General features: G+C 47.8%; 1 protein-coding gene across 55 annotated transcripts in view, besides 1 other annotated feature; it reads right to left on the bottom strand.

The window, feature by feature from the left end:
- Positions 1-26,270, bottom strand: part of TACC2 (transforming acidic coiled-coil containing protein 2) — a 265,380-nt gene that overhangs the window by 13,872 nt on the left and 225,238 nt on the right. For 17 of the 55 annotated variants that reach the window (XM_024447756.1, XM_005269388.1, XM_024447761.1 and 14 more), the window contains 9 exons: positions 25,220-25,280; positions 23,750-24,044; positions 15,884-15,945; positions 14,190-14,305; positions 12,663-12,834; positions 11,185-11,325; positions 10,231-10,320; positions 3,133-3,276; positions 2,634-2,710 (listed from right to left, as the gene is read on the bottom strand). In XM_024447756.1, coding sequence (XP_024303524.1) covers positions 2,634-2,710; positions 3,133-3,276; positions 10,231-10,320; positions 11,185-11,325; positions 12,663-12,834; positions 14,190-14,305; positions 15,884-15,945; positions 23,750-24,044; positions 25,220-25,280 — 1,158 coding nt within the window. The remainder of the gene's footprint in view (positions 1-2,633; positions 2,711-3,132; positions 3,277-10,230; positions 10,321-11,184; positions 11,326-12,662; positions 12,835-14,189; positions 14,306-15,883; positions 15,946-23,749; positions 24,045-25,219; positions 25,281-26,270) is intronic. The other 38 variants (NM_001291877.2, NM_001291876.2, NM_001438369.1 and 35 more) reach the window with 9 other exon arrangements.
- Positions 6,752-7,252: an enhancer, noted in NCBI's record as "H3K4me1 hESC enhancer chr10:123992934-123993434 (GRCh37/hg19 assembly coordinates)". NCBI's record gives its function as "activates a minimal SCP1, AML or CMV promoter by ChIP-STARR-seq in naive H9 embryonic stem cells {active_cell/tissue: H9 hESC(naive)}" and the evidence as "EXISTENCE:reporter gene assay evidence [ECO:0000049][PMID:30033119]".

Raw genomic sequence — 26,270 nt, 5'->3', positions numbered from 1 at the left:
CCCCCACCCCGGTCAGGAGGCCTGGGATCCCGCTGAGCTTGCCCCTCCCAGCTGTGTGACCCTGAGCACGACATTCATGGAAGCTGCGGGCGCTCTGCTTACTCCTTGGTAGAGTAAGGATTTTCCTAGACCCCACCTTTCAGGGCTGTATGGGAAATTCAATAAGGGTAAAAGGGATAATGAAGGTAGAATGCATTCTGCAAAGTCTAATGCTGGGTGCCTGCCCTTGGCTGCTCAACCTTGGTCCCAAGGTCAGTGTCTCACCCCAGAATGGACTCCCAAGAAAGGTAACCATGAGATGAGCCTCCGAGGGTTCTTTCCAAATCCTACACAGGAGCAATTCTGTGTTTTCTGCCATTAAACAACACCTCCTTGCATCTCAGAATCACCAAGCTGTGATAGATCTTTGAGGCTGCCCTGTCTAACCACTCATCACTGCTGAGGACACAAGGAGGTAAGGGACGTGTCCTTTTGGAAGCGTGGAGAGACCGGGGACCTGAAAATACCTTAGCTGTGCTGTTTTTTCACTTTACCCTCACAATGACCCTAAGAGGCAGTGCTCTCACTGTTCCCAGCATTACTGATGAAGACACTGGGGTGGAGTCAGAGTGATTCAGAAACTCTTCCAGGATCCCAAGGCTGCCAAGTGGCAGAGCCCAGATGTGAATCCAAGCATCACACTCCGCAGCCTTTGTTCATAATCCTTCTGCTCTACTCTGTTGAGGCACTGTTATTTACCCCCATTTTCAAGTTAATAAGCAAAGTGAGGCAGAGTTAAGTAAGATGCCCCGGAGTGGCTGGGAAGCAGAGCCTGGTTTTCACCTAGTCTAGCTCCAGAGGCTGACGGGCTGACATTCGGGCTACCAAATGCCGGTACATCTGCACCAGCTGGTGACATCTTGAAATCCTACCACATCAGCTAGTAAATGGCACCTCCTGGGGGCCCCTCAGTGGTACGACTTCTCAAACCACGAATAAGCACTCCCCAGGCACCAAGAAGGCAAAGCTCCCAGGAGGCAAAAGAAATTAGAGACAGAACTTACAGCCTTCCTGGGTGCCATGCCTCATTTTCAGTGCATGTAAAAAAACTAGAACCACCCATACCCCCAAATAAGAGAAAAAACAAAGAGGTTTAAAAATAATGCAAATGCAGGGCTTTCGTTTGAATGTGAAATAGCACGCTAGGCTCAATGTCCAGAGGTGGTCACAGGGAACCATCAGCAGAAAGAAGGAACGAACAGGAGAATTTTCAGGAAGATCCTACGATGACCTAGAAAACGGGATATGATTACCTACAGTTCGCTTTTCTGCTTAAAATGGTAGCCAGGAATGCAATTGATTTTGATAATAAACTAGTATCGGGGCTGGGTGCAGTGGCTCATGCCTGTAATCCCAGAACTTTGGGAGGCCAAGGCAGGCAGATCACCTAAGGTCAGGAGTTCAAGACCAGCCTGGCCAACATGGTAAAACCCCATCTCTACTAAAAATACAAAACAAAAATTAGCCGGGCATGGTGGCAGGTGCCTGTAATCCCAGCTACTTGGGAGGCCGAGGCAGGAGAACCACTTGAACCCGGGAGGCGGAGGTTATAGTGAGCTGAGATCGCACCATCGCACTCCAGCCTGGGCAACAAGAGGGAAACTCCGTCTCAAAAACACACACACAAAAAAAACTAGTATCGGCCATTGCACTTATGTACACTATACATGGTGACTATATTTCTATTACAACATACCACAAATGAAAATAAATCATTTAAGCTACAGTCAGGAAACATCCTAAATGTTTGTCCACAGAGACTGTTTAAATTAATTACGTTATATCCATACAATGGACCATTAAGCACCTGTTAAACAGAGTGAGGCAGAGAGGAATAAAAAATACGTCAAAAATATGCTATTAAATTTAAAAAGAGTGGTGGGTCAGGCGCAGCGACTCATGCCTGTAATCCCAGCACTTTGGGAGGCCGAGGCGGGTGGATCATCTGAGGTCAGGAGTTTGAGACCAGCCTGGCCAACATGGTGAAACCCTGACTCTACTAAAAATACAAAAAATTAGCCAGCCATGGTGGCAGGCGCCTGTAATCCCAGTTACTTGGGTGGCTGAGGCAGGAGAATCACTTGAACCTGGCAGAGTTGGAGGTTGCAGTGAGCCGAGGTGGCGCCACTGCACTCCAGCCTGGGCAACAAGAGCGAAACTCTGTTTCAAAAAAATAAATTAATTAATTAAAAAGAGTGTAGAATGATGTATACTGCAAGCTCTCATTTATTTTGGAGAAAAAAGAGGCTGTTTACACTCATTGTTACATTTGTGATGAGAAATGGAAAATTCTTGGAAGGATCCACCAGAAACAGAAGATAGTCACCTGCGAGTTGTGGAACTGGAGGCTGAGTGGGGAGATCTGTTTTGCATTGTACATACATTTATTTGAATGCATTCTTTAATTCATGTGCATGCTATTTTAGTAATAGTAATAGAGTAAAAATACTTTTAGAAAAATATGAACTGTGTGTAATAAAGAAGAGAGAACTTCCACAGAAGACACTCTTCTGTGGACCACACCAGCTCCGGTCATTATTAAACCACAGGTAAGTATCCCTCAGGCACGAGGAAGGCCCAGCTCCCCAACTGACCTCATTTCCATCACTTCCCGCCTGCTTTCTTCATATTTATCTTTCCATTCTGAGACCTCTCTCTCCTTGGTTATGATCTAGTTTCAGAGAGAAGAAGAGAAAGGTTAGCCCCAAATGAGTGAATTCAGCTCTGAGCAATTCATAGATCAAGAAAAGGAGACGGTGAATAAATGTGGAATGAAAACTTCCTACAACAAACCATAATTACATTCAGAGAACTTCCCCGAGCATAAAAAAGAAAGCAGCCAGATATCAGACTTTCACAGTGCCCACTGGGGAGCAACTGAAAGGGGCATGCTTTTTGTTGTAAATTCAACAAGGCCAAAAGGCCCATTACACGATAGCGTCTAGGAAGATCAAAACGCATGGTGTGCCACACATCTTTGCCTGCAGCGTTCAGAGGACAAAGTCTGTCTCCAAAGACTCTGGCTTTGTGGACCACGAGCATACGTATTTATAAGTGGCAGGAAGAGGGTAATTACACCACATGCCACGATACCTCTGCTCTGGCGATCTGGAGGGCAGAGTCCAGGTCGGGCTGCTGGAACAGAAGGCCTGCAGGTTTCTCCACCTCAGCGGTCCCGATGCGGGAGTACAAGGCTGTTTTGGAGATGGAGACGTCTGTTGGGTGAGCAGCCTCTCTCTGTGGAATCGTTTTTAATTAAAAAAAAAACAGTTAGCATTAATCATACGACAAAGAGGATTACACTCACCCTCTCATGAATGGGCCAATTGTATGGTTTTGAAACAAAGAACATCAAAAGTATGAGAAAGTGCAAAGACTGATGAACAGGGAAATGCCGAGTCCAGTCTATGGATGGAGATCTATCATTCTGCACCTGGGCAGGCAGACAAAGGGGCTAATGGCAGAGGCCCCTTAAGCTCCGAGGCCTTGGAGTCCAGCATGTCTGGTACCTGCTTATCTCTGCCATTTATCACTCACTGAGCCACTTAGGCACAGCGCCTGAGAACCCAGGGCACTATTCAGCAGCCTCCACTTCCAAAATGAGATCTCAATGGTGAATAATGTTGAATTCTAGTCTATGTTTTCCTAGTTTTGAATAACCACAGATTTGATCACTTTTGTAAGACTGTTTACATTTCCATTTTGGGGGCATTTGTTTAGCTCTGTTTGAAAGGATGTGAGTCACGCAAAGCTTAAAGCCTACTGTAGTTGTCAACCAATATCACCTTTGGCTAGGTAGAGTCTCTGGATGTAAGAGTTATGTTGGAGTTATGTTAGAGTTATGTAAGAGTTCTGTTGCCATGAAGTCTGTTACGTTAATGGGAAAATTAAAAACTGGGTCAATGACAATATCCACATCTGCTGATTAGACCCTGAACAAGTGGCATGATCCACCACCCCAACCCACCCAACTGATGTTGGTTGAGGCTTTACAGCCTTTTGTGGAGGACAGATACTGGCCTCCCACAGGTGAGGAGGAGGAATCTGTGGTTATTCTTTTTCCCTTTGCACAAAATGCTCGGCAATTTGCAACACAGTTGAAATGCGGTGTTAGCAGCATCACTGACCAGCACAGCCGGGTTGTCAGTCTACTTCTACTGCAAAAGAAACATCAAACCAACCACACTCTCAGTCCTATGCATTAACCTCGTGGCGCTGTCATGGCTGCCCAGCGAACCTCTACCCTAGTTATCAATACTAGAGTGCTCTAACAGGCAGAGTAGGCTGCTTCTTCCCTTGGGAAATTATGAGAAGAAATTGAATGGTGGAAGGCTACCACAGTGTAGTAGAGAGAGAGAGATTTGGGGAAAGAATAATGAGGGCTTATCAAGGACAGCAGGTAAGATTAAAGAGCCAACATTAACTGGGAAGGGGGAGGACCTAAAGGTACCTGTGCAGAATTTGTCTCTTCCACCACCAGAACAGGCGTGCCTACCCTACGACAGCATCAGGGAAAATGAACCCGAGAAGGGAGACAGCTTGGAAAACTCAAGAAGTTTAATGGATAGGACCGGAGATGACTGAGTTAGGACCGGTTAGTTAGCTGTATACATGCAGGGTGAAACTATATAGTTTCGGTTGTCCTGGAAGATTGAACGTCTGTTGCCTGGGTTTCTTGGCCCCTGCCTGGCCTTGCATACTTGGGGTGACCCTGAAGCAGGACCCAAATGATCCACTGGCCAGAGATGGAAGTACACAGTCCCCTTCAAGCAGACCCCAGAGACTCGCTCATGTGAGAACAGGGCAGGCTCAGGCCCTCAAGAAGTCCCCGTTTTAAGGACGCTTGACCAGAATATATACTAATAGCCCTCAGCAGAGGCAGGCTGACCTCCCAGAAGCAAGGGCACCACCAAGCCGCAGGGCCGGAGCCTCACATGCAGGGGTTCATCTCTGCTATTGGAAAATGGGTTTCACAGTTCTGCTTGTCATGGGGGAACTTCTCAGGAAGTAGCTGAAAAATGACACAGAGATCAAGACTCAATATTTGTCCTTATGGAGAAAGTTCATAAACACACAATTCTGAAAAAAATTCTGGGCCGTGTGCGGTGGCTCACTCACACCTGTAATCCCAACACTTTGGGAGGCTGAGGTGGGAGGATCCCTTGAGGCCAGGAGCTTGAGAACAGCCTGGGTAACATTGTGAGATCTCATCTCTAGAAAAATTTTTAATAAAAAAAAATTGGGGGCCGGTTGCAGTGGCTCACACCTGTAATCCAAACACTTTGGGAGGCTGAGGCAGGTGGATCACTTGAGGCCAGGAGTTCAAGACCAGCCTGGCCAACATGGCAAAACCCTGTCTCTACTAAAAATACAAAAACTAGCCAGGTGTGGTGGTGCATGCCTGTAATCCCAGCTACTGGGGAGGCTGAGGCACGAGAATCGCTTGAAACCCAGGAGGCAAAGGTTGCAGTGAGCTGAGATCGCGCCACTGCACTCCAGCCTGGGTGACAGAGTGAGACTCTGTCTTAAAAAAATTTTAAAAAGGCAAAGGATTTTAAAAGGAAAAACAAAAACTATTCACTTTTAAAGTCAACAAATGTGTGTGTTTTTTTTAATGAGCAATAAAATTTCAAAATGAAAACAACATTAGTCACCATCAAACTCAGCGTGGACCTTCTGAAGATGAATAAAATGGAGAATCTCAGAGACTGGGGCACAAGGTTTCCCAGAATGAGATTCAATTCTGATCAAAATAAGCAGGCTCCCTGCAGCGCAGGAGAAAATTGATTTAATTAAAACTAACTTTATCATAGTGGGCAGAAACTAAATATGACTAATGAAGGAATTAATTATCTTTATGCTGCCTAAAATCCTTTGTAAAACAAGAAAGGGAATGAAAAAAAATAAGTAAAATAATGGGGTTTCTAAGAAAATTCAAATGGACACTACCATGTAGACTGTTCACTGACCCCTTCATCCCGGCCACCTGGAGTTTTCAATAAAGGAACAGATGACTTCAGAGCCCTCTTGAATTACTGCCTGAGTATCTGCATGTTGATGAAATGCATTGTGTACACTCTGGTTTCCCCTTACAACCAAGAATTGTTTTTAACAGAAATTGATAGCTTTGTCTGTCGCTGATATTTTAAGATCAGACATTTTTAGATTAAGCTTTGTTTCTCTCACATAACCCCCACTTGCTACTTTAGAGGGGCCAAAAAAAGCCACTAGAATCACAAATTGAAATGTGAAATGGCTGTGACGCAGAAGGCATGGCCTTTGTAACCAATTTCCAACCTTCACTCCACTGAAGTCCTGCGACCTGTGAGAACCTCTGGCCACTGTCACCCACTTCAGACCTGCAGGCTGTGCCTGGGGTCCTTCCTGCTGGCAGCTGGGGGTGGCATCGTAGCCCCCTTGTCGACAGTTCCCTGCTGCCAGACATGGAGGGGAGGGGCTAGCACTGTGGCAGGATCCCTGTCCCCTGGAGCAGAGAGAGGCCAATTCTGGGGAGAGCACCTGCCATCCGAGGCTGGGAGAGCCATGCCAGAGGGGCCACGGAGGGGTGAGGCCAGGAGTCAGGATGAGCTAGGGAGATGACAGCCACCTGGACCAAGGCCACGGTGCATGGACACAGGCCTGGTGCTCAGAGGGTGTCCAGGTCATGTGCCGCCACCCGCGCAGGAGAGTGGCCTCCGCTGGGTGCTGCCCCATCCAATTCTGACCACAGGCAGTCCCCAAGCCCAGCAGGAGCGGTGATCATGGGGAGGCACTCAGCATCAGGCCTTATGCCACTCCCACAGGTGGCACCACTGGCAACAGCCAGCCGCTCCTGCCCACCGAGTCAAGACACAGCCTCCAGCCAATGACCACAGAGGCTCCAAACGGCCAAATACACAGGCGCTCGCGAGCTGGTCCTTGTCACTCCTCTCAGGCTGTACTTGTGGCTTTTGGGCATCACGTCTCCCTCCTTTTGAACCTCGGCTCAATGTGTGTGTATGGGTGGGGGTAGTCTGTGACACAGCAATGGAGAGGGAAACACAGAGCATGCTGCCAGGCTGCTCAACGACAACACAGGTGGCCCCAACTCCTTCTCTTGCTCATGTAAGCTCCAGGCATCGGCCTCTTCTAAGCCAGGACTGAGGGGCCACACCACTCAACCGTGCTGGGGGCCTCTTGCTAGGACTTGCCCCCTTCCTGAAGCTTGTTATTTGTATGGCCTTGTTCCTAAGGAACCCAGACACATCCTTCCGTCTTTATATTGGGTCCCCCAATCCAGAAAGGCCCACAGCCTGTGCCTCTTGGAGAGCCACCCAGACACAACATTCAGGTTCTATCTGACGTGGCTGAGTGTTAAATTCAGGGCTCCTGTACCACATTTCCAGTGACCTTGGTCAGGTTCACTCCCAGGAGGACACAACCAAATTCCGTTTGACCAGAAGGATGTGGAAGGAAAGTAATGGTGAGACTGCAGCCTGACACCCCGGCCCCTAAGGACTTCTCCTCATTTCTCACATTTTCTAACTGAGATGGAGAAACCCCCACTGCAGCTCCTGCAAGGCTGACTCAGCTCTCCATCAGTCTAGAGAGATATGGAAGTCAAAGCTGCTCTAGGGAACAACCGGAAAATCACTCCCCACTCTAGCTTATGGTGATTTTCATCCATGCAATATGATATTTTTCATTCCAAGTGATTTCATCTTTGTGCTAGCAACAGCTTAAGACCATGTTGGCAAAATGACAGAGCTGTGTCACCTACCGCTGAAATATATGGCCAGAAAAAAAGGCAAATTGGATACACAGCTGCTGTTTTCTCTTCCTATGCATCAGGAGTTTCCAATGCAGCAAGGAACAATCTTTCTATATGAAAAAGAAACCCACAGGGACCAACTTGAGGTCAGGCCCGTGGACCACCCTCGGGCTGGGTAGCTACAGGAACACCATCTATTTTCCACAGGCCAACATCACCAGGTAATGCACTTTTTAACAAAAGCAATACAAGTTACTCTGCTAGAGAAAAATATTCCCTATATACTCCAAGACAGTCACAGAATACTCCTTTGAGCATACGCCTCTGAAATAAAAGAGGTGGCTTGGGCTGCCTCTCCGACCTATATACTATGAACACACATGACTCTATTTTCTAACTCAGAATTGGGGCACATATTCTGAGAACAGCCTGTAATTGACAAAAAGTCAACTCCTGGCCATTATTTGCCAACAGTCATCTCTGGCCGCTCTCCAAAGGAGGTGGCAGGGGGACCAAAGCACTCAGCACACTCCATATCCACCCTGAGCTACTCACCAAACATGCTCAATTCCACCTCAAACTCTGGACAGGAATACATGGTACTTACAGTGGCCAAACTGCATGCAATTCATTCTGTCTTTAGGCCCCAAGGATGTCTAGAAATAAATCTAGTGGGGGGAAAATCCTCACTGCTTCATGCTTTCTAAAAATCTCGCTTTCATGGAAATTCAACCTAAGCTTATGGTTTGGCAACAAGAACGAGGACATCCCCAATCTGTATTGACATTCTTGTCCCTGCCTTGGGTCTCGCTGTTCCCAGCCTGCACACCCACAGTGTAAGCACCCACTGTCTCTGGGAGGGGTCTCTCTTTTGGGTATGGCCAAGGAGACCTCACTGCGGGGCCCTCAGGGCTGGAGCAGCAGCCGGAACTCCTACTCTTGTACCAAGGATGAGAGACACAGACCTCACTGCCCCCCTGCAGATGAGCTGTTACTCCAGGCAGGCAGGCCAGGGGCTCCCATTTGTATTTTTTCAATTAAAAGATAGGGTCTCGCTCTGTCACCTTGGCTGGAGTGCAATCAAGTGATCACAGCTCTCTGTAACCTGGAACTCCTGGGCTCAAGCAATCCTCCCACCTCAGTCTCCCGAGTAGCTGGAACTACAGGTGTGTACCACCACACCCAGCGAGGGGCCTCTCACTTGGAGACCTGAGTTCTAGTCCCCAACAGGCTGGTGAATCACTGTCAAGTGGCTCCATCTCCCATCTGTAAAATGGGACCCGGATCCACCCACCGAGGAGAGATGCTGGGAGCACCTGATCAGGTAACAGAAGCAAGAGGGAAGTGTCAGCTAACAACAGCAGCTTTCCTTTATCACACACCTACTATGTGTCAAGCATGGTGCCACTCTCCGCACACCAGACATCTGTCATCCTCACAGCAACCTGTACACTGGCTATTATTGGCCTCATCTCACGAACGGCAATACTAAGGCTCGAAGAGGTTCACCTACTTGTTCAAAGCCACAGAGCACAGTCTGACACACCAGGTTCATCGGGCTGTCCAACTTGGGGTGGGGTGAGGGGTGGGAACGAGGCCGCCCTCAGAGACCAAGGTTTGCATGGGCAGTCCAGGGGCAAACACACGTTCTGCACGTCATCAGCAACTCATTCAAATTGTTAATAAAAGTTACCCCAAACTTGGAAGCCAGGCGAAAAGATTTCTGCATGCCCTGTCAATGTCATACTCCATGCTAAAACTAGGAATTGGGAAACTCCACAGGCCAAATGGCCCACTGCCGTTTTTTGTAAAAAAACAAACAAACAAACAGACAAATAAAAGTTTTATTGGAACAGTGCCAGACAGTACGGCCCACAAGGCTGGAAATACTTATCATTTGCACTTTACAGAAAGAATTGCTTAAGCCTGGTCTAGAATATTATCAAATGTCTTGGTTTCACTTACTATGTATTATTGATTAGGGCCTTGTCTCAACAAAGTCAGATGTTAACTTGCAGAAAATAGAAAAGTTGCAAATTATGTTTGCTCAATAGAGAAGCAAATGGTATCTGTAGAAAAAAAAAACCCTCAAAGGTCATGATTTTGTTTTGCTCTGTTGAATTGGTGCTAACCAGTTTTCTATCCAACTTTGCCATCTTAGGCTAGCCTTCTTTACCCTACTGACCCATACATTGGTCTCTGTATTCTCTCTCATTTAACCAGCATTACTATCCCGCGGTTTAGCATTATCGACTTAAATGGATCTTAGCTATGTGCTCAGTGTGTATTTATGCAAGAGTGACGCTTTCAGCTTTTTGGAAACGACTCTTTGCTGGACACCGATGATGCCCGCCTGGCGGATGGTTAGCAAAGCAGCTTCTGGACCCCAGCGGCACACATGACATTCTCAGGAGGTGGCGCACGCAGCAGCAAACCGGTACCTTGGCATCCTGGTGGCTGCGGGAAGCCAAAGCAATCTGCCTGGCCAGCTTCAGGGCTTCTATCCGCATGATGGCAAACTCTAACTCCTCCTGCCCACAGGGAGTGTGGGCAAACCGCAGGGAAATGCATCAAGACAGACGTCAATGGTTTCCACATCCGAGAAATGAACGTGCCACGAAAATGTGTCATGACAGGCACTCGGGAAAAACACGCGCTCCGCCTTTCTCTCACAATTAGCACCTCAGCAGATCATGAAATAAGCATTTAATTTCCTTTTCTAAAAATCACCCTTCTGATTGTCAGGAAGTATTGTGCAGTTGAATACGAAATGATTTTCAAAATGGGATCAAAATTTTTACTGTTCTCTTTTCTTTCATTTCTTTCCCTTTTTCTTTCTTAAGGTAAAGTTGGCCAATAGTTTCCATGAATGGAGCTGCATCTCTCAGATGGCTGTTAACAATCTCTCTAGGTTTGCTCTGAACACCCTAGTCTAGAGGATATCAAATTAAGTTGTCAAATTTAAAGCACAGAGTAGATCATTGTTTTTGGTTCCAGATGCAAGACTGAGCCCAGATGTTATCTCACTGGGAGTCTGAGATAGCCACGTATATATAAACGGCTTGGCTCAGTGGTGATCTAATATTCTTGGTTCAGTGAATAAATCACAGAAACTGCTTTGGGGGCTATCAATGCTTCTAAATAATGACTATTTGGGCCCAGTTTGTAAATTGAAATAGAAATGGTTTGTTCAATATGTAATCACACAATTTACATCACTTTGGTATCGTGGGGAAAGAACGTCACATATACCATCCTTTGAGGGGAAGATATGTCACTGGGAACGTTCTCGGCAGTTCCTCATCAAATCCTGCCTTATTTCATTTGGGCCTCGGGGGTTCATTCTCTACTGAGGTTTTGACAAACTCCCAAAAGGTCACACGTGGGCTACAAACCTGGAGTTTCTGAGCGAATAGTGGGGGGTTCTTTTCTGCTAAGTCGGGCTCCAGATAGTCAAGTGCACCACAGAGAGAGACGGGGTGAGCTAGCCTGCTGAGGAGGGCGTCAGCAGAGGCAAAGGAGCCCTCGGGAGCTGTCTGAAAGCCGGCAGAGAGGAGGACACACAAGAAAAATAGAGGAGAACAGAGAGTGATATTGATTCCAAGCAAGGGCCATGCAGCCATTTGCTGGACATTTTTGCCTTGAGGCTAAAGAGAGTATCAATTAGCTGCCATTACTTGTGGTTTCATCTAGACTAATTCCCACATGCTGACAATGCACATCTTGAGATTGGCAGACCCGACCCCCTCCCCAAAAGCATAGCCTTCAGTGTCCTCCCACCCCCACGCCACCCTCACTCCCTGGTCAGTGAGTGGGAGCTAGCCAGCGGAAGGTGAAAGGCCAGTTAGCTGGTGGGTTTTCCAAACGTAACATAACTCTTCAAGAAATACTTCCAAATATATATATATATGAAGTAAGGTTTTGGTAAAGGTCATTTTCTAAATCACGGAAAGATGATTTCAAATGAAAAAGTGTCTTCTGATAGATCAGAAAGACTTCACAATCAGAAGCCAGCTTTGTAGAAGGCGAACCATGGACGTGTGCTTCAGAGTATTCATGTGAGAGATTGATTCACATCTAGACCCTCTTTTTGCTATTGTTTTTCTAGTATCCACCCCAGCATCCAACTGCCAAACACATAGTAGGTGCTCAATAAACATTTGATGCACAAGAGAAATGGCCTACTAACACAGAACAACAAAAATAACACACTAAATCAAGGGCTTCACACCTGCTTGGGGATTGCTGGGCGGGAGGTAGAGGAAATAAAACTAAAATTCACCTAGAAGGATGGTGCATTTCAGATGTGTGGAAGACCGTGGCATGGGCATCGCTTACTTTGGGGAATGCACAAGGCCATGTGACACGTGTGCTGTGCAGGGACTGGGGGGTAGGTGAGGCCTTCAGCTCAGCTCTGTTTGCTCTGCAAGACCCCACAGGGCTTGGGGAGAGGAAAAGTCCTGGTTTTGAACAGGAGAAATTCCCATCACTAAGTCCCAGGAAAACTAACTGTTTCCCAAAAAAGGGTCCCTTGCCCTCTGCCATCAAGGACGAAGCGGCAGAGGACTGCTTAACGACTGCCCTAAAGCAACAGTCTAGTCCTAAGTGGCAAAAAATGGAAACTAAATAACCCTGAAGGCATATAAAGTACTTAAGTGGGAAATGCAAAACCATACTGGTGGGAATAGAGAACCTTCCCCTCATCCTCATGGTATGGGATTTCCCAGGTTGGCTTCTGTGGTCAGGGAGTCAGGGTGGGACCCATGGCAGGTGCCAGGTGAGTGTTGCTCTGAAGGCCTGGCCTTCTTGGTGACAATACGCAGCTGGCCCACACCTCATCCCCTGTGATCTGGGGCCCTCCAACTCCACTTACAATTTCAATCGCTTCTGAAGGGGTGCCCAAGCCCATGGCCTCCAGCTCCTTCTGGGAGGATTTCTCTGGCACCTGCAAGTGTGACTCTTGGTTAGGGGCCAGTCCTCGTGGGACAGGATGCTGGTTTTTCGCAGCAGTGTTCACAAGGGCTTCAGTCTCTTCAAAACTTGACCTGGGGGAAGCAAAGGGCATCTTTCTTTAGTCTTCTCATTGGGAAACCCACTGAAATCAACCAGGATGCCCTGACCAAGTCAATATCACAAGGAATCCTGGACTTCCAGAGGGATATGAGCCAGGTCTCCAGTGGCCATGCAGCCTCTAGGCTGGGCAGTCACCCCAGGACCAAGTGACAAGGGAGGGGCAGAAGCACAGATGCCACTGGCTACAGACCCGAGCTCTGCAGTTCAGCAGACCACCCGCTGCTTGGTTGTGGACTCTGGGAAAGTGACTGGATACCGTGCCTCCATTTCCTTCTCTATAAGATGGAGACAATGGACCTCTCTGTGAAGATTAAATGAGATGCTGCATGCCTGTAAAGCACTTAATGTGGTACCTGTCACCTGGTGCCACTACTGTTTTAACAACATAACCACCATCATCATTGTTCTCACCACCCTGGGCAGCCTGCAGAGTCTCTTTTGTAAGTCTGAGAAGTCAATGCAAGCACTTTTACTCCTGCTTAAAGGGGCAGGCAGACAAAAATAGGCTGGTCCAAATCTCACAGCAATGCCCACACTTACTTGATCAAACAATGCACTGCTCCAAACATCAGCCCTCATAAATGCAAACATGAACACCCATATCAATAATGTACATTTACCAGGCACTTGAGGTGTGCCAGGTACTTCAACAAGAGCTTTACACACAGCATCTCTCTGGTAGACAGAGTGCCCTCTCCCCGTCACACAGCTCGGGGACGCTCTGGAAGACGGATAGCCTCCTTTAATCTTCATCAAATCCCTGCAAGGTCCATTTCATTATTACTTTTACTTTACATTCAAGGAAGCTGAGGCCCAGGAGAGGCAAGTACCTCACTTCAGGTCACACAACCAGGAGGGGGTACAGGTGGGATTCGAGCTTTGAATGCTGGGCCACAGTGTCCCCCTTTAGACAAATGATGGAATAAAGTGTGTGTGCACTGGGCGAGATTATAGGGAGTGGGACACACAGTCAACTGCTGAAGGATTTCACTTTAGTCCAAAGGGTAGCCAGTAACAAAACCAATGCGTTTATGTCCCTGTGGACATTCAGAGAGACTGAAGTGTGGGCTGGCCAGGTATTGTGGCTCATGCCTATAATCCCAGCACTTTGGGAGGCTGAGGTGAGAGGAGCCCTTGAGCCCAGGAGTTTGAAACCAGCCTGGGCATCATGGTGAGACTCTGTCTCTATTAAAAAAAAAAAAAATATGTGGCATGTCAGCCGCCTGAATCTATGCACTGAAATGAAGTCAAAATAACAGCATGAAGGTGCTCAGAGGCTTTAGAACATCCAGCATGATGTGTAACTCTCTCATCATGGAAGTCATACCCTGAACACGGCGTCGGGGACTCTGACATGCGGACGGGAGATGACTTGACAGGGCTCTCCTGAGAAGTGTCAAACATAAGGTACAAGGCCTGCTTCTTCGGGGCATCGTCGTCCTGCTGCAGGGATCAAAATCACATATCAGCTTGGGTACAGTTGGCCTGAACGTGCAACGGAGATGAAAACTGGAGCACTCTTCAACAGAGAACAAATAACCCATCAGGGAAAAGCCTTCATTGTTCTGGAGCCACCAGGAAGAGAGGAGGAAGTGGGGCCTGGTTAGGAGTGAGGTGGGGAGGCCAGGAGGGAAGGAGGATGCAGAGAAAGTACAACTGAGTTCAAGTAGGAACGTGGCCAGGGGAGAAGACGCCACGGCGTTGGTGAGCTGGACTTTGTTCAATTCACCAACATTTACTGAGCACGCTCTCTGGGCCAGGAGCTGTGCTGGCCACTGCAGATAAACAGAGAGGTAGGGCAAGAGCCTAGACCTGGGCTGACCATAGCTGAATGAGCCCAGGGCAGGGGCAGGGCCTGGAGAGCAACTCAGCTGGACTAGAAACAGGGGCTGTGGGACTGGCATCTCTCAGTGATGGGAAGACCTTGAAAGACCCCCTCCACATGCCCTGCTGGGGTCCCCAAATAAGTCCCTGCAACGGCCGGCAGGTATGCTGCTCTGCACTGCCATGAAATCTCTGGGTGGCTCTGCTGTTCCTGAGCAGGGCATGCTCCTCACGAATTCATCCGCGAGGCCTGCCAACGCACCAGGCAGTGGGTGGTGGCACAAGAGGAAGGGGCCCCTTGTGGTTTCAATCCATTTAAATCAAAGATCTCAAAACACACGACAGTTCCCCTTCAGCGGTAAAATGTCTCGCCCTCAGTATTATGTATATGGCCTCAGCTACTGGGGACACAGGTGTGGCCACAGAGCTAAGCTCTTTAAGCAACGCACAAGGGGATGATGACAAAGCCCATGTGCTTTACTCAGGAAGCTGTGATCTCACTGACGTGGCGCATGAGTTAAGCCTGTGCATGGGGACATTCTCCCACCCAACCTTCAGGTCTAACTTACAGCAACCTGCAGTTTGGAAGCAGTAACCCCGGCATCTATGACTAATGCAAAGAAAGATAAAGAGCAACATATCCAGGGCCACGTAGTGCTGTAAGCAAGCAAGCCCTCCTGTGTGCCACACGTCTCCGAGGGCATCGCTGACAACAGCAAGAGGTCACCCTTGGAATAACATGCCCTAGGGCAGCAGGTATTATGCCAGGAAAGACAGTGCCCATCATAACCTCTTAAAATGAAAAACCAGGGAGAAAGGCTTATTGCCCAGAGAAAATATTCAGTTAATTAAAACAATTTCTCAAAAACAGCTAATCGTATACCTGAAAAACCATCACCACCTCTTTTTTTTTTTTTTTTAAAGAAATCTCTAGCTCTTTCTCAGTCTAGGAAAGTAATTCTGCAGGACGTCTAATTGTATTCTATCATTTTCTCCCTGAAAATGTCAAACGAAGTGGATTGAGTACAAACCTCAACCCCCCAGCCCCAGTCCATCACTGCTGTGCACCCGGGAAGCTGTGTACACAGAAAACACTCGATTTGGGGTCTGAGCTCCCAGAGACACTCTGCACAGGGGAGGAGGCCCCTGAAGGCAGGAAAGCGAGTCCCCTAAGTGGCCCGAGGCAGACGAACTTACAGGTAAGGAGGAGCCAATTTTCTCCATATATTCAATTTCATAGGAGTTTCTGTAATCCAACTCTGCAAAAACAAAAACAAACACAAACACAAAAAAACAAAAGGTGAGGTTAGTGCCAGAGGAAAAAAATGGGAAGATCTGAGCCAGGCAGGGTGGGAGCTATCACAAGGCTCTGGGCTTTCTGACGGTGCCCACTGTCTAGAGACTTCTCATATAGCCTGAAGAAAAGGCTCAGTTCGGCTATTTTCAGACAAACGGTAAATGTCTTGCTGTAAAGGGGCTTCTGCCATTAGGGAGGCTGAGAAAGTCCTGAGGAATTCCATGGCACGACCAAGCACAGCCCAAGTGTGGCCAGACCTGAGCACTCTGCGCTGAGTGTTCCCATAAGACAGCACGTGCATTCTGGGTGCGGGTTTCCTCTGTAACTGTCAGGTGAGACACGTGGGATGATACATCCTCATGATGTTTTGGAACTGGACCCTTACTTGTCCCTCTCTGGGTATTCAGCTCTGGCCACCCTCTGAAGTGAGGGAAGGACGATATTGTTCCTTCAGCGCTGCTGGTTAAGAGAAGCTTTGTAAGTCACCTGGAGCCTTTCCCAGGGTTCTACCAGTGTCTTCAGGGCTGGTCCAAATCTATTTTCAAACTCAAAGACTAGTAAAGTCCAATGGGTGGAGAAATGACCTGTTTCAAATTGATTGGTGAAAATCCCATACACTCAATGGAGACGGCAAACACCACTGCCTGCCTCGAGTACCTGGAAACTAAGCTGACACTCAACTGAACTCCCCATCCAGCAAACGGATGAAGCACCTCCTATATGGTTTGCACAGTGCCAGGCATAGCAGATACAGTGGTGGATAAGACCAGAATGGACTTCTGTCTTCACAGAAGCCACAATCTAGAGCTACCAGATACCTCTTTTCTACTTAAAAAGAAAACCAAGAGGTGAAGAGTGACCTGCTCAGAAACCCACTGTGAAAAAGCATCAGTGGCAATCCATCAAGTTTAATCTTTCAACTTTTTTTAAGATGAAAATAAAGATAAATAGCAGTTCTGGTTTAAAGCCCCTTTATTTCTGCCTATTGCTAAAGGCATCGTCAAAAAAATATCAGCTTTAAAATGAGCTATTTCCTGGAGGACTTTCATAAAACCTGCAAATGGCTGAATAACCTCAACTACTTAAACACGTGGACAATCTTTCAGGAATCTCTAAATCTCCCTTGGTGAGGCAAACATATCCTTCTACTCAGCATGGCCAGCTCATGAAATCGAAGACAGTTTTGTGATTAAAGGCCAGAAAGCCCTGTTGCATCCTGAATAAAGATGAGTAGAGAAAGTGTGTTTCCAACTCTCACACCAAGCCTGAACCCCAGGGTCTGCCCCAACTTAAGACAGAAGCATTAATTTGTAAAGTCTTAATCGCCTCCTCACCTTAAAAATGAGAAGCAGGACAGGGCACAGTGGCTCACACCTATAATCCCAGCACTTTGGGAAGCTGAGGCTGGCGGATCATTTGAGGTCAGGAATTCAAGAACAACCTGGCCAACCCCATCTCTACTAAAAATACTAAAATTAGCCGGGCACATACCTGTAGTTCCAGCTACTTGGGAGGCTAAGGCAGAAGAATCACTGGAACCCAGGAGGCACAGGTTGCAGTGAGCCAAGATCGCACCACTGCACTCCAACCTGGGTAACAGAGTGAGACTGCCTCAAAAAAAAAAAAAAAAAAAAGAGAGAGAGAGAGAGAGGAGGAGGAAGGAGACAGGGATGGACAGGGTGATATTTAGGGTCTCTTCCAGATCTATCTATCACTTTCCAAGTATAAAACTCTGGGACTATCATTTTACTGTTCTATTATAAGCTGTTTAAGTTGAGAAAATAATAGTGAATCAGCTGCCTCTTCTAAGGTATCATTACGATTTCCAAGGCATTACATGCCCTAAATGATGTAACAGAAATCTCTAAGCACACTCCAGTACAGCACAGGGCACCCAGGACACACCAAACGAGCAACAGACCACCGCAGAGTTTTTCCAGGGGCCTGTGGCCCCGGGCGAGTGCCCGGCTCTGGTAACCAGCTCGCCTCACTAAAGTGTCCCACTTGGAACCTCAGCTCTTCTGGTGGCTGAATCTGGGTGAGTTTTAGGTCACGGAGCTCACTCATCTGCCTTCTCTGCTACCTGCCAAAAGGAAGTCCCTTCCCACTGTCCTGTGTCCCCATTCCTCCCTTCAGAAGGAGCAACTGACGGTGCAAAAGTGGGGTACTCTGACACCCACATTAGTGTTTGCATTTGTGAGATGCCTGGTTTCAGAAGGCCCGCACTCCTCCCCATCAATCCCAGATGAGTGGCAGACGCCTGGAGATGCTGCTTCAGAACACGCCCTGCTTGTTGCAATCACGGTCATTTGGGATCCTGATTTATAATTTACAGAATGACCTGGAGAGGATGTAAAAAAAATAAATACTTCCTCCTGTCATCTTGGGTGATCTCTGCTATTTTGAGAAAACATCTTCCTGAACTTGGTTTTCAAAATTTCACTCATCTGCTTCAAATCCTAAGCCTCAAAGGGCAGGCATGGGGGTGAAACCACATCCAATTTCAGCCCTATTTTCACACCATGCCACACACAGCTGGCAGGCCAGGAAGGGTGATGTCACCACACCAAGTGGCACATCATATTCTCAACTGGAGGAGATGGTCCTTGCTAACGTGTGTGGCTGCTCCTAGCTGAAGAGGCTCAGTCATCGTTCACGGGTCCTGTCGTTTCTGAGGGCTGCTTTTGGTAATTATTTCATATGGGGGCACTGCACAGCGAGGGGCCTTCAATGCTGCTTTCGTCTGTCTCTAATTGCTGGGGGCTTGCTAGGAACAGGAAAGAGCCCCATGCAGAAGCCAGAAGGATGCCACTGAGTCCAGGTCTCCATTGCTAGGATCAGGGAAGCCAACTCGCCTGATATCTCCTTGCCTATTGACTTATCTTCCAAGTGGAGCTCAAAGTGCTTATATTTTGTAGGCTAAAATGAAATACTTTAAGATAAAAACCCTTCGATGGGTAACACAAATGTAAAGGAGCATGATCAGATATATTCCTGCTCATGGCTAGTATTTCTGGAACTTTTAACCTAAGTGACATTATATTAGGGGAGAAGAAAAGAGTCCAGGGAAAGAGACAGGGAGGCTGCTCCCAGCTTCCCCACCGTCACCCTTCTAAGTGTCTGCAGTGTGACAGAGACGGCGCCTGCCGTTAAAGAACAGCTGAGGCTTCCAAGGAGGGCACTTTCCCCTCTGTCAGAGTGGGAAGGAGGGACTAACAGAGCTGTGTTAAAGGACACAGGGCAACTGGGTGACCACCAAAGAGTCACTGAGACTTCTGAATCTAAAACAACTGCACTCTGTCAGGGTCTCTTGGACAGCCAGGAGAGGACTCAGCTGTGTAGACCAATAGTTCCTAATCTTTTCCTCCACAAGGACTACATGGGTTAAGTTTTCTCCCACTGCATCACGCTTTAAAAGACTGCACCAAAAAAGGGCATTTACTAAGCAACCACGCAAAGAAAACCATTTATAATTGTCAATGAGTTCTTCATCCGTGGAAGATGACCAGTGTCATCCTAGTGAGTTGATACAATTACAGCCCAAATATGGTATTTTAATCCCCTGGGCATCTTTCTAACCTAGTTACATTCAGGTGTTTTGAAATATTAAAGACAACTTGAAGCTCTGCAACATTCTGCTCCTATGGACCTAGGTAGGAAAGTGTGAGTAGGTCAACAGCCTCATTCTACAGACGCAGGCAGCAAGCCTGTTCCATGCTCACATAAAGAGCACAGCTGTTAAGTCAGGCACACCTGGCTCTCCACGGATTTGTGCCAGGACACTGGGGGAGTCACTAACAGCTCCAAGCCTCTGTATCCTTGTTCCTAAAATGGGGAACTGTAGAAAAGCACTCTGCAGACTGAGAGGATGAAATGAAATCATGAATGTAAAAGACTCTGCACAGCTCAAAGTAAGTCCTCACCCAATGACAGGCCCTAGCTTATTATTGTTACCTATAGAATTAATGATAGTGAATATGTATTTAAATCATAATTATTATTTCTCACCCAACATTTCCTTTTCCTGTGGTTGGTGACTTTAGTGTAAGTCTCACATCACAGCTGGGGCCCCGCCCCACACGGATTCTTTCTGACGATCAATCACATCAGCACCCCTGGGTGTGTGTCTGGTGCTGCTAGACTGGACCTCATTACATTAATGGTATTTCCACGTCCAGATGCTGGGGGGACCCTGGGTGTGTTAGCGAGGTGGATGCAGTGGGGCCCACACCTCCTGAAACTGCAACTGTTGTGTCTTCACATTAATGGATTTTTTATTGTCTACCAGCTTAAATTATAGTCATGACTTCCCAAATCTTCCCATTTTCTAAGGTAATGGGTTTAACCAAGTTTTGTTCCAAACCCATATATTTACATATTTGTTCAATTTTTACAGAAAAAAACAACTGTCAAATATGTCACTCAGCTAGTAAGTTGTCTGTTTTAGTACAATGTAGAAGATGGACAAATAAATGCCACCATTGAATGAGGTATATATTAGCCCTAAAAGTACTGTTAGTATTTTTATATTTCCTAAGGAAAAAAAAATGCATGTATTTGGTTCCTGATGGTAAAACTAAAGACACACACATATCAAAATCATATGTCCAGCTCAAGTTGGCTTCTTTCTTTTTTCTTTTTTTTTTTTTGGAGACAGAGTCTCACTCTGTCACCCAGGCTGGAGTGCAGGGGCATGATCTTGGCTCATTGCAACCTCCGTCTCCTGGGTTCAAGCGATTCTCCTGCCTCAGCCTCCCTAGTAGCTGGGATTACAGGTGCCCACCACCATGCCCAGCTAATTTTTGTATTTTTACTACAGATGGGGTTTCTCCATATTGGCCAGGCTGGTTTCAAACTCCTGACCTCAAGTGATCTGCCTGCCTCAGCCTCCCAAAGTGCTGGGATTAGAGGTGTGAGCCACCACGCCCGGCCCCAACCTCAGGATGGTTTCTAAATGCTTTTCTCCGATATTTAGAAATCTCTTACCAAGCTCAAGAGATGTAACCCACCATAGGTGCTATCAAAATGGCCAAGTCTGAGGCCTGTGCTCAGATGTCCCTTGCTGCCTCTGGAACATAAAGCACCTTCCCCGCAGTGCTCCACATCTGACGCAGGTGATGCCCACTGCAGGATCAAATTGCTGAGCTGACATTACTAAGCTGTTGACCTGCCTGACCTTGTGTTACCATTATTTCACAAACCTGTCTTTAGCCCCTACGACGTTGAGGGTGCTGTGAGGAACAGAGATGAACCTGACAAAGTTCTTGCCTTCAGGAAACATACAAGCTAGTTGGGAAGCAAGAAATGCACACACATCATTATTACGGTGTTTCATATCCCCAGCTCAGCCCAGATCAAGCACTGAAGGCGGGCAGAGCCAGGAGCGGAATTCCAGGGAAAGGCTGGGAGGGGCTAGCACTAAGGAAAGGGTGTGAAACAGGGATGAGGTGGGGGGAGTGCAGTGAGGGTGGGGGGAAGGGTGTTCCAGCAGGCGGGGTCTACAGCAGCACTGCAGAGGCAGCTGAGTGAGGGGTGTTCCGGGAACAGGCTCCTGCCTCGGATGCAGGTGCAGAGAGAAATAAGGATCCAAAGGAGGCTGAGGCCAGATCGTAGGGCCTCTGGGGTCAGGGGAGAGCAAGATGGTCACTTTTCTTTTTTTTTTTTTTTTTGAGACGAGTCTCACTGTCACCCAGGCTGGAGTGCAGTGGCACAATCTCAGCTCACTGCAACCTCTGTCACCTGGGCTCAAGCAATCCTCCCGCCTCAGCTTCCTGAGCAGCTGGGACCACAGGGACACACCAGCATGCCCAGATAATTTTTTGTACTTTTGGTAGAGTCAGTGTTTTGCCATGTTGCCCAGGCTCGTCTTGAACACCTGGGTCTTGAGCTCATGTGATCTGCCTGCCTCAGTCTCCCAAAATGCTGGGATTACAGGTGTGTGCCACTGTGCCTGGCCAAGATGGTCACTTTCGGACCTCTCAAACCCCAAACCAGAGGGCCAACCTGACAGCCAACCAAAAGGCTCTATTTTACAGAAAACAAAATGCCAAAAGGTACAAGTATACATAATTTGGATCATCTTTTCATTGTCAAATTTAGAAAGGCAGTTTTGGGTAGGGAGAAGATATGCATCCAATACTCTGAAAAACATGAAATAGATCTACCATAATTGCATGCTGGTACCATTCCAAGACCTCGTGGGCACAAAGCAAACCATGCCTCCGGGCCTGACTGTGGAAGAGCGTCCAGAAGAAGGTTGGGAGTTTTTGAGTTACGATTAAAATCTACCTGCACCCTCATGACACCACCACTCCACTCAGACAGGGAGGAAGCCGTTTAAAGGAGATCTTAGTCTCTTATTAGCAGCAAAAAGTGGAGACCAGACCTTCACATGTGATCTTCTTCACAGTGATTTCTACTCAGTTCAAAAAAACTGTTAGAAATCGGTCAGGCGCGGTGGCTCACACGTGTAATCCCAGCACTTTGGGAGGCCGAGGTGGGCAGATCACAAGGTCAGGAGTTTGAGACCAGCCTGACCAACACTGTGAAACTCTGCCTCTACTAAAAATACAAAAATTAGCTGGGCGTGGTGGTGCGCACCTGTAATCCTAGCTACTCAGGAGGCTGAGGCAGGAGAATCGCTTGAACCCAGGAGGCGGAGGTTGCAGTGAGCCGAGATCACATCATTGCACTCCAGCCTGGGCGACAGAGTGAGACTCCATCTCAAAAAAATAATAAAATAAATTGTTAGAAATCGAGAAAGGAAAACTCAAAACCATCACAAAAGCTGGAGTGTCAAAATGCCAACTGGGCAGCCTCACAGAGGTGGCTGGAGGAGAAAATGGGTTGGAGGACTGGGAACGTGGTGCACCAACAGGTCAGGGCAATGGGGTCATCCCTCCCAAGAAAGGTGCTAGCTCTCCTTCAAAAAGGTTTTCCTATCAAAAAGGAAGCATGGGGTAGCTCACACCTGTAATCCCAGCACTTTGGGAGGCCAAGGCAGGCAGATCACCTGAGGTCAGGAGTTAGAGACCAGCCCAGCTAACATGGTGAAACCCCGTTTCTACTAAAAATACAAAAAATTAGCCGGGGGTGGTGGCACGCGCCTGTAATCTCAGCTACTCGCAAGGCTGAGGCAGGAGAATCGCTTGAACCCAGGAGGCAGAGGTTGCAGTGAGCCAAGATCGTACTACTGCAGTCCAGCCTGGACAAGAGTGAAACCCCATCTCAAAAAAAAAAAAAAAAAAAAAGAAAAAAGAAAGAAAAAGAAAAAACACTGAAATTGAATATACATAGGAGGAAGGATATTGAGATAAGCAAAGTTGTCCGGAGCCCATTTCTGCCCATTTCTGAGGAGGGAATCATGCCCTCTCAGCAAGCCTGGGGTGAATCTCTGGTTTGAGGCTTCATTAAAAGGTGTGGCCATAGTGTCTGAACACAGTATGGGGCCTAGGAATAACGGTGGCACCAAGCGAGTCCAGGTCAGTGACCTACACTGAGAGTTTGACTTGAATGACACTCCCTTGGAGCTGTGTTTATCAAAATCACAGAGGGGACATAAGCCATGGGCAAAGCTCGAGTGGGCGCTCAGGACCCACTCGATGGAGTCCTGAGGTGGAGTTAGAGGGCACCGTGCTGGCTCTTAGCAGGAGTCTTGGGTCAAGGGACAGCTGCTTTCAAGTCTCAGGCTGTTTTCAAACACAGCCTGAGCTGCAAGTGCAGCGGGAGACGTGCAGACGATCTCACAATGATGATCACGTGGTTACCTGGCTGAGAAGTTTCTCTCCTGGCCTTTGGCTCCCTAGGGGCAGGATTCTCCGAGGCAGAGTGGGGGTCCAGCTGGCTACAGAGTTGCTTACCCTCAGTGGGTGAACTGAATTTGGTCTCGTTTACAAAGGTGGACAGGTCCGAGGGCTGCGGGTAGTCCTGTTTGTCAGCCTCTAGGTCCACTGTCATGCACGTCCACTTCTGGTTGGTGACCGCCAGCTTTTCCTCATCTGTGGCGTGGACCACCGCAGAGATCACTGGTGGTGTTTCTGGTGTAGCAGCTGGGGTGGGGTCCTGCAAAGAGAAGAGAAACTGTTTCTTGTCTCATCAGACTCTTGGTCAGAAACTGTGCCCACCCTCAGGTCTGGGGACCCATTAGCCAGGACAGGTCCCGGTCACAATCCTCTGCATGCTCTTCTCAGACTCTGCTCCAAATGGTCCATTAAGGAAACAGATGGACACACAGATTCTTCCCTCTATGAATCTCCTTTTATGATGGTTTGTTTCAGGGAATGACCATGAATTTAAAAAAAAAAAAAATCAGGATTTTGTGTCTTAGTTACTTGAGCATTCCTGCTAGTTTTACGACTGTGACTGCTGTGCGAGGCTCACACAGTGCTTCAGGCCTGCACATCAATATCACCAGAATCACCTGACAAGCATCTCATCAGTCCCTGGAGGCAGAAAAAGGGGGATCTTATCTCCATTTCCACTGGAGAGTGGGAAGTGGAGTAGGGCAGGGTGGGAACCTAGAGAGGTCAGGACAGAGCTGCAGCTGGGACCTGAGCCCCTATCCCCAGGGCTGAGTGCTTCCCTCCACTGCCCCCACTCTGGCCAGGGTCTGCAGGCTGGGGCTTTGCTGGCTCAGATTTGGAGGGGTGGCAGGTCTGTTTTGTTTTATGACCCAGAAATTAGCCCTAACATACTGACAGGCTTGACGATAACTTTCCTTGGTCTGTAAACAGGGTAGAAGAAATGGAATCTATCTGATGGAGGAACTGGTAAGAGGGACTCTAATCAAGACAGAACCTAAGCCCCACTTCTTTAGGGGAGGGGCTTCCCTTTTCTTCCCACTCCAATTTTGGCTGCACAATTCAGTGCTCCTGACACTTGCTGAGTTTCTTCACCTTCTCACTGCATATTTGTTCATCTCAAGAGACTTTCTCATCTCGACAGTCCTAGAAGTTCACAGCAGATGAACTGGCCTGAATGGAGCAGAGTGGGTCCTCCAGAGCCCAACTAATGTTTTTCCTGAACGTCTTCCCACTCTCGGGACACACTCTGATCTTCCGCAAAGTGAAGGGACCAAAACAATGTGAAGCAAACATCGAGGGACCCTCCACACAGAATGCAAGAAGAGGGTCTTGGAAACAGGCCCGGGATGAGCAGAAAGCAAAGCTTTGTCAACAAGCGAAGAAAACCTCCCCCGGGGGGGGCATAAAACCATCAAGATCAAAGGAACACTGTACCTGGGAAGGTGGATCAGAGAGAGGAGACCGTTTTGGCGACTTTTTCACCCTAAATGTGTCACTGGAAACAAAATGGAAAACGTAAACACAACAAGCAGAGGGACGGAACACTCCAGAGCAGTACAGAGCGGACCGAAGCTACTGCCTCTGCGGAGCCATCTGGCCCAGGCCACCCTCCCACCTCTGTCACTCCAGCACCAGCGAGAGGCCACGCCGGCTACCCACTCTCACTTTTTAACAGCTATTATTTTTGCCCCCAAGGGAAAGATCCATCAAGCTGGAGATCTTTAAAGAGATGCCATTTTGGAGAATGACCCAGAAAATGAAGCTAAATTTAACTAAATGTTCGTATTTTATAAAGCAAATTTCTGGTGAGCAGATTAATTTATCTGGATTCTTCCAGGGGTATCTGAACCCAACTAAGGCTAGGGGAGGGGCTCTAGGCTCAGGACACCAATTTACAGACGGGCAAGGCGACACCTCACTTAATGAACAACTGAAGGGGGCCACGCAGAAATAGAAAGTTCGGGGTCCTCAAGGAGAACCTCCTGAATCCTCCCTATCACAGGATCTTTGAGCTCAATGGATTCCCATGCTCTGAAGGCTTCTAGGTGGAATCCTGACTAAAGGTAGGGCCAGGGGAGAGATGATTTTTTTTGTCTTCTCCTAACCATGGTAAACAGACAAGATTCACAGCTCTTCTCTCCCTTTTTCTCCTCCATATGAATAGCGGGGCTGAGAGGCAAAGGAAACCACCAAATCAGACTCCTGAAGGGTCAAGGAAGCAGATCCCAGGAGAAAGGGATGCCTTTTAGCCTGAGCAGTTCCATTAAGTCCACCGAGCAGTCTGGGGGTCACTTCCACAGTCAGAATGGGGGCTCTTTCCACCCTGTAGACTGGCCCCTGCCCCGTCTCCAGCCCCTCCATGGGTTGGTCCCACTCCCAGCAAAGCAAAGGCTTTGGGGGGTGATCCCTCTCCTTAGATCCCACCACCCTCCCCTGCTTTGCATGTTAACTGGGTGGGCAGAGCAATTTGGCATTCAAGTTCCTT

Source organism: Homo sapiens, chromosome 10 (genome assembly GCF_000001405.40).
Source record: "Homo sapiens chromosome 10, GRCh38.p14 Primary Assembly".
NCBI lineage: Eukaryota > Metazoa > Chordata > Mammalia > Primates > Hominidae > Homo > Homo sapiens.
The sequence above is the reverse complement of the archived record's forward strand: the minus strand, read 5'-3'. Positions and strand labels throughout refer to the sequence as shown.